Here is a 12,759-nt window from a genome sequence, read left to right on the forward strand (position 1 = left end):
TGAACCCAGGAGGTTGACGTTGCAGTGAGCCGAGATCACACCACTGCACTCTAGACTGGGTGACAGAGCAAGACTCAATTTAAAAAAAAAAACAAAACAAAACAAAAAAAAAAACCTGTGCATATCCCATGAGTACACTGTTTTAGACAATGGATAGTCACTTAACCTAATAGTCACAGACTCAATTTAGAATAAATAATATCCATCAAATATTAATTAAGCATTAATTATTTCAAAGGTATGGGTTCCTAAATATTTATTTCCTCCTCCAACTCAACTTTCATGGTTAACCCTGAAAAAAAGAAAATTTTACATGGATGTTGGTTTCTCCATTTCTAGTTCTGGGGTTTATCAATTACCTTTTTCTTTCTCATAAGCTCTTATTGTAACTTTTCAGAGATTTTCATCTCTGTCAGTCTTTCTCATGCAGTTATTTCCTTTGAGCTGAGAAGATACATTTTCATTTCAATCGGACCTTTGTAACTTATTCCACATTCCCTACAGACTGATGTTTTTGTCCTGTTTTGCATTGCTGGGATTCCTTAGCCCATGAGTATCCCTATGAAACTGAAACTGAATTCTAGATGACCTGGTGGAATATTCTCTTTGATGTGTCTCTCTCATTTCTTGCCCAACAAATGGAGGTTCTGGCTGCTTTCATTACAGACACACCTATCTTATTTTCACAGACTTAGGCTTTCTCAGGCATGATAGGTTATATTTTCCAAAATTGCCATGAAAAGATCTTCCATCACATTTACTCTTCTTACAACATGATATTTATATTCCTCCCATTGAGATGTGGGCCATATGTTCTCCAAGGAAACCCAGACCACATGGAGAAATCTGGTATGGAAGTTCTGACTGGAATTCCTAGCTGAGGTCATAGCCAGTATCAATTTACAAACATCTAAGTGAAGATCCTTGAGTTTTCCACAGCCCTTGAGTTTTCTAAGCAGACATTGTAGATGAGAGACAAGCTTTGTTTTCTTCTGTGCCCTATCAGAATTTCTACCCCACAGATACCTTGATTATGATGAAATTCTGGTTTTATGCCACTACATTACAGGCAATTTAAAAAAACCCACATGAATGGGTAATGATAAATAAAATTATTTAGAAAGTATTTGTTGTCAGCCCAAAATCAGATTAAATGCGAAGAGTATAAGCAAATGCTGAGACATTTACTGCCCATGTGATTTTCGGCAGTTTATTCTTCGAGCTTCACATTTTCAAATGTATATTGTTACTATTATTCTATTGTAAGCCATTGATGAAACAGTGCTGTCTAAGATGGCATGGCTTCAATTGCTTTCATTTCATATATCATTAGATAATTCCTTTACATTTTTTCTTTTTATAAGGAAAACAGATAAAATTGGATTATCAGATTGTGTAACTAAAAGGAGGAATGGTACACAAAGGAAATATTTAAAGACATAGTAAAAGAAATGCACTGGCTTAAATTATTTTGCAATTTTGTCTAGAATATACAATTCAGGGAATCATCCTCTTATTCTTGTTGTAGTAGCACGTTAAGACTCTTTCTTTAAGAAAAGCATTGCATTGTCTTTTCCCCACACGAGATAATATTGTAAAAACTTTTTGTAAAAAAATAGCAACAACAGCAAAACTCATTTCAACACTTTGAAATTCTGAATTGATGCTATCATATGTTTATAGTCTCAAATAGTTTTCTGAAAATTATAAGAATTATAAAAATCCTACTTAATTTATCAAATTTGCATCATCATCCTCACATAGCAATGCCTGTCTTTACTAGTTGTTTTTGTATCATTTTACCAAATTTATATCATAAGGGCATCTCTATATAAATAAACCCACAATGCTTTAAAGTCAAGTAGTTAGTGGAGAAATAGAAATGCAATATATATCTGAATGCATGATATAGTTTCAAGCACCTAGACTATATATTAGGGAGGGGCAGGTTATGATGTCTGAAATAAAATACACTAAAACAGTAAGAGTAATCATATTAGAGTAGCAAAATAAAAAGGTGTTATTTTTCTTTTCAATTTTACACATTATTTTATGATATTTTTACATGACTTTTACAATGTAAACAAGTAATTTAAAGAGAAAAATATATTCTCAATTTGCAACAAAGGATATCAACCTACTCAAACATTCTTTAGATTTTTGGTATGAATGTGTTATCATTTTCATAATGGCAAGGAAGTAAAATACGGATAGGTGCTATAGCCTCAAGGTTTTCTTTTCTTAAAAGCTTCTCTGTCACATATAGTATATTTGAGAAATAGCCTTTATCCTCATGAACAGAAAGTCAGCATCCCAATAAATTCCAATAATCTCTCTGATTATACCCTTACCTGTATTACAAAGAGAAGACAGAGACTTTTTTAAACCTAAGAATAACTGCTTTTCTTCTAATTAGTATATACTGTATATACTTTGGCTTCATGATTTGTAAAATGGGTACAATAACAGTATCTATCTTATAGGGCTGTAACTATTAAATGCGCTAGGATGTTTAATGCACATAGAACAATGTGAGATGCATGGTAAGCACTGAATTAACCCTAGAATGTAGATTCTGTGCGAGCAAGCCTTTATCTGTTTTATTCATCACTTTAATACTCAATGCCTTGCAAAGACGCTCCAGATGGAGCACAAAACATAATAGCTGAATAAATACAAGCTAGTAGCTTTGGAGACAGGTGTCATTTAAGAGAAAGATTTTTAAGAAAAAAGGGAAAGTGGATCTTGCAAGAGTCAGAAGTGTGCAAAATGTTGGGCAGTGAGAAAAAAGAATGTGGTCATTCAGGAACTTCGTCACAATTGGGAAGGAGATTCACTGAAAATATTTTGTGATTTGAGCTTAATTTTAAGGAATTAGATAAAATTTATATGAATGAATACACAGATACATGCAAACTATAAATGTGCATGCTTGTGTATATTTGGGTGAACATTCAGGGATACAAGTGAAGCAGCATAGTGATAAAAAGCACAGCTTCTGGAGCCAGACTGCCTGGGCTCCCATCCATCCCTGTTTTACCACTTTACTGGCTGGGAGACAGTGGGAAAGTTCTGTGCTTCAGCTTTCTAATCTATAAAATGAAGATAATAATAGCACCTACTTTAGAGTGTTGTTTTGAGGATTAATTGAATCCATGTTTGTAATTAGTATTTGTAATTATTAGCTGAAGTTAATATTGGTAATTGGGATAGTGTAAACACCATGTAAGTGTTTGCTAAGTAGTATAAATATTAAAATTTTTTCTTTAATCATATTTCAAGATTTCTGTAGGAGATAATATATTTATTAGATTTGTTTTTTACTTTAGCATTTGTGATAAACTAAATCTATAGAAAGATACCATCAAGTGACAATTTAAGATAATATAAATGGAACAGTGGTGAATAGGTTCTCTGGCTTTCATGTGCATCCTTATATTAAAAAAAAATCTATAGACATGAAAAAGGGTTCCTAACAATGTTTTTACATGTAAATCAAAAAGTCAAAAAGGGGAAAAACAAAACAACACAAGAAAGGGAACAAAATACAAATGCAAATGCTAGCATCTAAATGGAAAAATCCTACTGCCTCTTTGTCGAGTCTCTAGGAAACGGTATTAATTTTGGAACCTCCGCTACCGTTATTGAGCTCCTTATGTCACTATAATTTTGTGAGACCCAGGACAGTGTAGCAGACATAGTGGGCAGAACTAAGATGACAAATGGCTCCAAACCATTTTTTAAATAGTAGCATCCAAAATTAGGCACATTAGGTAAGTCTATTGATAATTAATTCTTAAAGATATGTGAGTTTCTATCAGTGCCTGTTTAATGCCTTCTGACAAACTCAGTGTAATATGCAAAAAACATGTCAAATCAAGTTAGTTTTGAAAACAGTGTAAACACATGTCATAACAGAGTTATTGTCCAAGGTGAGCTTCATTTTTGCTGATGATAAACAAGACTGCTAAACATGACTGTGTAAGGTAAAATTTCTATATTATCAATGTGAAGGTATTGAAAAGTGGTGATATGCGCTCACCAGTGCGGTAGTCACTGCCAAATATGGCTATTTAAATGTAAATTTATTAAAATTAACTCAAACTAAAAATTCAGTTTCTCAGCTATGCTAGATACATTCAAACCCTCAAAAGTTACATATAGCTAGTGGCTACTGTATCAGACAGCAGAGATACAGGCTATGTCTAACATTGCAAAAAGTTCTATTAGGCAGTGTTCATATATCAGTAGCATTTATTTTAGATAAATAATTTGAAATATTTTTAAAAATTCTACATATTTTCAATGAGTAAGGAACTTTCTTATTTTTTCACATTGGATAAAATTCAAAAATAAGCATGGGTACACTTCCCATTACTTACATATTTTAAGTCATGATGCAAAATAACTCAGGAGCAATTAAATGTAAATTAGGATGATCATAAATTAATACCAATCTAAGTCAACCTAGTGTTTGCTTTCCTGCTTTTTTCATTAATTTAGAATTTTTTAACCCATAAAAATAGCAAAGATATCACAATCTAATTCCAAGTACTATGAATTTCAGTATACTTCTAATACTATAGACCATATATCGAATTTAACACTGAAATATCAACAGAGTGTCGCATGGACTCTACAGCAGGTTTAGTTCCCATGTAGCTAAAAGACCATTTTCATAACAACTCCGCATAGGCTCAATATGCATGCAACATACATACATGTAATAATATATATTATTCACATATAATATTTATAAAATTATATTGACTCAAATATTAGCAATATAAATATTTAATGATCTTAAACAAAAGGAGAAATTAGGTACTTTTTACAGCTGATTATGTAGGTATTCAATTATTCTTTATGAAAAAAATTAATGATGATGGCAAATTTTGACCAAAAATTTAAAGATAAATATTAAATACATAATTATTCAGTAAATGCTTTTTGTAGAGATGTAAAGGATACATTCTCTGTTCTTTGAAGACTTTTCAGGATCGTCGAAAAGATTAGATATGTGTATCAAAGTTAGGCAAGTAGATGAATAACCATATGCTAATTGTCAAATGATTGGTGTCAGTTCCATATACTTATTAATCATTATTAAATTAGAAGATAATATTAAACATATTTATATTCCATGAAAACATTTTAATAGGCACAGCAGAAAAAAAAAATCCACTATGAGTATGATGATATAGAACTCCTTACATAAAATGTAAACATTGGGCATATTAAGTTTTTATTCAGTTGTCATTCTCTCAAAACTTGTCCTTTAACTTTTTTTAATTTAAAAACACAAAACCTAGAATTTCAAAAATGTCAACGTGGTATGTGCTTGCAAACTGAACTGAAATAATGTAAAAAACATTTTTATGAAAAAACTTTACCCATAAAGTCCAGCTTAAGTGATGCATTAAGTAGTCACTTATCTTCATCTGATACTTTTAATTTACCCCAGTTTGAATGCAGTAAAAAAAGCATGTTTTGTATTATTGGTATCAAATAATTGAAATGTTTAGTGCATAATTGTTATTCATATGGATATTATTATTAGTAAATTTAACATTTAAGTATTTGACATGCCCAAGTGTCCTCTTGTTTTGCATATTTGTGAAACAAGGCACAAAGTATCATGATGCAGGAATAGTTCAAGATAAAATACCAAATATATTTGGACTAGATTTTTATTTTGAATATTTGAATAAAATTAATAGCAATATTCCTGTGGTATTTGTTATGATGGACATAATCACACATATTTCAATATTTATAGGGGTTTTTAGAGGCAGTTTTACTTCTATTATCAGTTGTTACCTACTTGATATTTAGAATATGCTCTTTAATGGTATTTATTATAAATCAATGAAAGCAGTTGTTTTGACCCAGTTGGTCACTTTGAGGAATGAAAGATAAACTAATATACAACTTGTAAAACTGAAATAAATTTAAATTTATAACTTTAAAAGTCTCTACATAATTTAGTAAAATTACTTTTTGTGGATACCTGATGCCACACAGACTGTTAAGTCAACTTTATTATATTGCAAGTTATTTGAATCTAGTTAAATTATTAGGTCATTGTGCATAACCTTTAGTATTGTTTTTAATGTTAGTAAAAGTTCTTGTACTAGCCTTTAGAAGATGGACCAATGCATACCAAGAGTGAGTTTAACTCAAGAAAATAACTAAGAAATCCATGCCTTAGAAGGTGACGGTATGATTCTTTCCCTCTTACATAAGTATAATAATTTGGAACTCCACTGTAGGAACACAGAGATTGATTTTAATTGGAATAGTTTTTTTTTGTTTTTTGTACTGTAATGTAATATAAACTTCTGAGAGGTAAGAACTAAATCCAAGTAATCTTTGTACTTTCTTTACGATGCTCAGCACAAATGGATGTGAAAATCTTGCTTGGCAAACGGTTACTGAATTAGAAAAGTACTAGAGAGAATGTTTTTATTGAATTTCATGCACACACATAGGTAATATGATATGTATATGACATATGTGCATATATTTTTCTTTCACTGAATGTAACACAAGAACCAAAATTCAATTATCACAGCAGAATCAACAATAGTACATTTTATGTAACTTCAAGTTGCATTTTTTTCTGTAAGGTTTCTAAGATATGATATGCTTAGAATTCACTGCTTTGAATGTTCTTTTCCAGAAAATTATTATCTACTTCCTAACACCAAAGCAAAATTTCTGAAGTAAACAATGTGTATGTTTTCCCCTAATTACATACTTCCTAAACGCAAAGAGACTCAAATTAACTATATTTGACATTGTGGATTTTATTTTTATTTTAGCGGTTTCAATGCTGAAACACATAGAATACAATCTTGTAACTAACATATTTTAAAGTTGATGGCATGAATATGATAATATTATTGCCTACAGCATGTCTTTACATTTTATATTATCAAAAAAGATTTATGCAATTTGTTCTTTTCAAAGTACATACCTAATCTTTTAAGACCTGATATTTTGTCATATTTGAGGATCAACATTCTTTTTATTTATGTTTTTTCTACCTTGACCTTAGAGAATGCAAATTGCTGCTGTGAATGGATTAATTTACTCTTTTACCAGAATAATATACTTAAGACTTTCTCAAGTCTTGAAACATGCTGAGTATTAAACATTATAATCCTTCTTTTTTTCTCAAAGGAAGTAATTGCAGGTTAAGTCTCTCCTCTTTTAATCATTTTAAAAAGCAAATAATATTTATGAATACTATTATTTCTACTATAAATAAAAGCACACCAGTTTTTAATGTCATATATCCTTTATTTAATAAAAAATTTCATCATTTCTTACCTGAATCCAGACCACATATATCGTGAAGAACAATAGTCTGAGAGAATACAGAAGAATTCTGAACAATATAGTTCTGAAAAATGAGACATGAATGCTTTTCTGAGTATGGGTATGATTCAAACAGACAAGTGCAGATAAATCTACATGAATATTGCATCTGGTTCATTGAGTAGCTTATAATTTTGAAACTGTCACATGTCAGCAAATATATCAACACTGCTAGAAAATCAAAAAGGAAGTACATTTCTAAGTGTAATTGCATCTAGCTTACATAGATAACCATGATTATATTTTAAATAAAATGTTAGCTTAATAAAAGAAATTATTGTTACACAAAGTAGTTTACCATTAACTCTTCCCTGAGTGAAGAGAATTTAGCACATAAAAAGAACTAAACAAATATTTTAGAGAGACATGCACATATATATTTGTGCATCTTTGTGTGTGTATATATATATATATATCACATATATATATAAACATATAAATGGTCAAACGGTCATGGTAATTCTTTTTTACAATCATGTTTTAACATTAATAATCATGTCAAACTCATGGAATCTTGCTATTGTCAAAGGCAATGATAATCATATTTTAACTCATTTTTTAGATGAGTTTTTACTTAAGATGTCATTATCTTCTAGGCATGCAATAGATAGCATCCAAACATACGTAAACATGTGAAGTATGTTTTAATATTGAGAAAAATCTTGTAATATTTTTTTCTTAAAAGCCAAGACAAGAATATGACTATCAATTATCTAACCAGATATATATGTCAAGCTTGACTTTGGCTCATTTAAACAAATACAAATTATGAACTGTAGCTGAATTGTAAGTACAGTGCATGGGGGGACTAGAAATTCAGGTTAATTAAGCGGATTATTGTTACTTTGAAGTAACAGGTTATGTTTCAGGCACTGTGCTATGATTTCTAACTAAGCGTGAATCCTAGAAATGAATCTAAGTTTTCCTCTCTATTTCTTTCTCCTTTTTTTTTTCTGCCTTTTCCCCTTCCTTCCACTAAAAGTACTGCCTTCTAGTCTAATTTTAAGTGAAACTTCTTGGTGTTTTATAACATATTCTCTAAAATGCAACACTCAAGTAAAACATCAGAACTTGATTTTAAACTTTGATTTTAAAATATTTTATGTTAGGAATTATACTGAAATAACTTCTTTTTGGTGATGTTCCATTAAAAATGTTTCCCTTGCAAGTCTAGTTAATTTCAAAAGTAAAAGTATAGAAATAGATTCACATGGTTTATATTTTTAAAATAATAATATTATACATTCCTTCAATTTATAAGGACTTTCTTGAACGATTTTTCTTTTAGTGAATTATTAATGAAGTTTATAGATTTACTGTAAGCCAACATTTAAAAATGAAAATTTAATTATAAAAGGTCATGGAAACATATTTTTGACAGTATATAAAAAGAGATTTTGAATAAAATTATCAGATAATGAATCATTAGAAATTTCTAAGAACATTATTTAGACACAATGATTTATATTATAATGGTGATAATGTAGTCTTTTTATTTTGTAACTGAGTTTATAAACTCTAAAATGAGTTTGCAAATGCTCATGTGGTCAATCAATATCAGTAAGAGTGGCAAAATGAGTATCAAAGTCAGATTTTACTCTTAAGTGCCGATATATAAACTCCACACATGGTATCTTTTTAGAAATGATTTGCATACATTTAAGTTGGTGTGGACACACCTTCAAAGAGAGGCAGAGGTGTATGAATTCCTAATGAGAATGAGAGTATAGTCACCAATCAGAACCCTTCCTCACATTCTCCAAATCGCTTGTATTTCACCATTTCTCTCCACGCAGCAGAATTTTTGACATGGGACATTTCTTGCTCTCATTCTTTCTTTCCTTCCAATTTACTGTAAGGCATTAAGTGAAACTTCTTCAGCTATGGTGTGTGGCACAAAAACATCGCAGCGCAGGAATGCATGGAATAGAAGGGTCCTTTCCCTTCCAGAACTCTGTAAGCGTCAAACGCCGACCCTTGGCTCCATCTCCCGCTCCCCTGACCTCTTGTCACTGTGCCATTTCCCTCCTGTGCTTTCTGCCCACTTGGAAAATATCGTATATCCTTTACAAGACCGCTACTTTCTCTCCTCTGTTCACATTTCTCCATTACCATCCACATTTTCTCAAAACATTCCGACGGGTTTTGAAGTGGGGTTTTCAACCTCCCTCGACTGTGATAGCCGAAGTCCCTTCAAGAAAGAAAAATGATGTTGGAAATACTAGTAACAAATAAAGTATCACGGAAATCCCCACCCAAGCGATACGGTTTCCTTGACGCGCCCTTAACCAAGGCGTTAAGTTTAGCCTGACAGCATCCCTCCCTCCTTTCGGTTCCTGGCCTGATGAGCCGCCTCCACCTGCGAGCGGTGCAGGCATTTTTGTTGTCGACTAACCCCCTCTAGCGCCGAACTGGCGGCATCCGAGCCGCGGCTGCCAGGCCGGGAGAAGGCTGGGCTTGGCCGGGCTCTGCAGCGCTCCGGGCTCCGTCCCTGCCCTGGGCGCCCGCCTCCGCCGCGGGGCGAGGTGGTGGAGACCGCGGACGCCGAGGGTCCTCCCAGTCAGCACGCCGCGTTGCCCCGGCCCTGGGGCGGGGGCCGCGGAGTCCCACCAAGTGGCCCGCGCCTCGGCTTCCGGGAGACCCGAGCGCGGGGAGGGAGTGGGTGCCGCGAGGGGGCGGCTCGCGCGGGGAGAGCCGTCAGCCCACGGCGCCCCTGCGCTGCTGTGGATGTGGCCACGCGCCACTCGGCCCTTGGACTGCTAGGAGAGCGCGGCCCGACGCCACCACGCCGTGGACGCTCGGGGACCCCTGAATCCCAGCGTCAAGGCTGCGACGATGCTCGTGACCTCCACCGCGAAGTCACCTCCGCAAGGCGACGCAAGGACCTCGGCGATCCCGGGCGCCGTACACCCGCCACTTTCCAGCCTCATGTAACCCCCCCTCTGCTGCTTCCTCCCGGCGCTTTGCTTTTCTACAACTGGAAGCCGCGAAGGCGGCTACTGCGCTGAGCCGCTCGCTCTGCTGGTCAAGTTTGGGCGACCCGCGCGGAGGAGGGTCGGGCTGACTGCCGCCGCTGAGCTGTCCCCGGACGGGAGCGCCTGTCCACGGCACTCACCCCCTCCAGCGGTGGAAATGTGGAGAAGTAAGTGGGAGGCGGTGTCGGGAACTGACTCCTCTTAAAACGGTCGGCGCCGCTGCTCTGAAATGGGCGGCTAAGTGCTTGTGGGACTAAGGGCGGCCTCAGAGATGCCCGGAAAATCGCTGCCACGGCCAGAGTGCGGCGCAGACGCGGCAGAGTTGGAGGTGTCCGCGGTGCAGGCTGCTGCCCACGCCGCTCAGGCCAGGTGCTGAGGGCTCAGCCCGCGCCTCGGCCGAACCACTCTCAGCCCCGTTGAGCCACCTCGTCCGCCCGGCTTTCATCGCACCGGCCAGAGGAAAGTTCCCGCGGCCCCCACGCCTCTTCACAGCTGCAGCGCCTCCCCTGCTTTTGGCTCCGCAAGTGCCCACTTGAGTCGGGAGAGGTCCTCGGGCCGCCCCAACTGCCCGCCCCACCTGGCAGTCCGTCCCCGCCCCCGTCCTCGCGGTGAGGCGCTCCCCGCCCCCTCGCTCCCCTCCCCCAAACCACAGCCCGAGCTCGCTCTTGCGCGCGCGCGCTCTCTCCGGCCCAAGTGAATAGTCCTCGCGCAAGCGGGACACTGTGGTGGATGCAATTCCCCTCGCCTCCAGCCGCGAGGAGCTCCCCGGCGCCGCAGGCAGCGTCCTCCTCCGAAGCAGCTGCACCTGCAACTGGGCAGCCTGGACCCTCGTGCCCTGTTCCCGGGACCTCGCGCAGGGGGCGCCCCGGGACACCCCCTGCGGGCCGGGTGGAGGAGGAAGAGGAGGAGGAGGAAGAAGACGTGGACAAGGACCCCCATCCTACCCAGAACACCTGCCTGCGCTGCCGCCACTTCTCTTTAAGGGAGAGGAAAAGAGAGCCTAGGAGAACCATGGGGGGCTGCGAAGTCCGGGAATTTCTTTTGCAATTTGGTTTCTTCTTGCCTCTGCTGACAGCGTGGCCAGGCGACTGCAGTCACGTCTCCAACAACCAAGGTAAGGGACGGGGCGGAGGAGCGGGAGTGGGTGGGAGGAGGAGGGTGCTTGGAGAACCAGGGTACTGGTTGCCTCCTGCAGGTAACTTTGTACAGGGGTCAGAGTCTCCTGGCTCGCCACACGAGGGGATCGAGGATGTCCCCTTACCCTAGCGCCCTGTTTACACCGCCCGGGACGGTGACTCCACAGGCTAGGATCCGTTGTGTTTCTAAATGTCTTTAAACGGTAGCGTGAGCATCAGCTGCAGTTGGGTCCCACCGCTAGCGGCCGTGGGACCGCTCCCCGCTGCGCTGTCTCCACTGGAAGTCAGGCTCCGTGGCACAGACTTAATGGAGACTTCTGGCTCTTTGGTGGTCGCTCTTCTCAGGGGAACGTGTGGTTCTCCCACATGCCTTCTTGAAAGGCAGGGTGCTCCCGCTGTACCCCGTGACCAGTTATCAGTCTTTCCCCACCCCTCCGGTGACTGCCGCCCTCGCCCAGCCTCAGTCCCCATGCTTCATCTACCATCCAGGCCACCGAAGTAGACTTACTCGAAATTCTTCCTAGACCAGATGCTCCAGATCTGTGTAGGGGTTTCATATTCTTGCGGGCAGGGAGTAGAAAAGGGTTTAGGGTGAATTTCCAAGTTGTGAATACCCTATTCATGAAGTCAAGTCACTGACAGATTGCTTGGAGGACTTTGTTTCGGTGGGTAAAGTGGTAAAGTGAAGGTAAATAGTGGTTAAAAAGTGATGGAAAGCCCTTGGAATATTTGAGCATTTTCCCTTTTTCTATTCATACAATCTTCATGAAATATATCTCCTTGTATTTCTGCTGTGCATAAAGATCTATAAAAAGTACCACCTGCATATTCTAAGTCCTTTCAGACTAAGCATGAAACAACCATAAAAGTTTCCCAGCATGTATCTGGCTAGATATTCTCTCACTCGTGCTGTAATGACCAACCGATATGTCCCTTCAAATATTATGTGTGGTAGTCAGTTATAGTTATCATTTAACACATAAGGCATATGTTTCAGAGTCTCGAAGTAATTTGCAGGTATAAAAATGGAGGTCAGATGGCTTGAAAGTGTTCACTTTTTGTGTGAGGAGAAGGTTAAGGGAGAAGATAAACAACACAGCATTCTTCTTTGTCATCAACATATATGGCCATTTTACTTAGAAATGTTCAGAATCAGAATAAAATATAATTATTAAATTGTTCTCATTTATACAGTGGTACTTTGGCATATTTTCCTAATTATTACAGTTATTTTAAACTGACAGAATGCAATCACAAATGTGTAG

The 12,759-nt window shown here is 37.8% G+C and overlaps 1 protein-coding gene and 1 long non-coding RNA gene across 15 annotated transcripts in view, besides 2 other annotated features; one reads left to right on the forward strand and one right to left on the reverse strand.

The window, feature by feature from the left end:
- Positions 1–7,284: 7,284 nt before the first annotated feature.
- On the reverse strand, positions 7,285–10,871 carry LOC124909397 (uncharacterized). 2 transcript variants are annotated; one of them, XR_007095974.1, is made up of 2 exons: positions 10,499–10,871; positions 7,285–9,574 (listed from the first exon to the last, which is right to left on the reverse strand). It is a non-coding gene; the product is annotated as an uncharacterized LOC124909397 (long non-coding RNA). The 2 variants fall into 2 exon arrangements; XR_007095975.1 differs by lacking the exon at positions 10,499–10,871 and adding an exon at positions 9,779–10,146.
- Positions 9,894–9,963: a silencer, noted in NCBI's record as "silent region_14550". NCBI's record gives its function as "represses an Ori minimal core promoter by ATAC-STARR-seq in GM12878 lymphoblastoid cells {active_cell/tissue: GM12878}" and the evidence as "EXISTENCE:reporter gene assay evidence [ECO:0000049][PMID:35858748]".
- Positions 10,024–10,143: a silencer, noted in NCBI's record as "silent region_14551". NCBI's record gives its function as "represses an Ori minimal core promoter by ATAC-STARR-seq in GM12878 lymphoblastoid cells {active_cell/tissue: GM12878}" and the evidence as "EXISTENCE:reporter gene assay evidence [ECO:0000049][PMID:35858748]".
- A 186-nt stretch (positions 10,872–11,057) lies between the features above and the next one.
- Positions 11,058–12,759, forward strand: part of EPHA6 (EPH receptor A6) — a 946,939-nt gene continuing 945,237 nt past the window's right edge. For all 13 annotated transcript variants that reach the window (XR_001740110.2, XR_924126.3, XM_017006211.2 and 10 more), the window contains exon 1: positions 11,058–11,472. Coding sequence is in view for 9 of the 13 variants with exons in the window: in XM_006713592.4 (XP_006713655.1) it covers positions 11,088–11,472 (385 nt within the window). In the remaining 4 variants the exon portion in view is untranslated. The remainder of the gene's footprint in view (positions 11,473–12,759) is intronic.

This window comes from Homo sapiens, chromosome 3 (assembly GCF_000001405.40).
Source record: "Homo sapiens chromosome 3, GRCh38.p14 Primary Assembly".
Classification (NCBI taxonomy): Eukaryota; Metazoa; Chordata; class Mammalia; order Primates; family Hominidae; genus Homo; species Homo sapiens.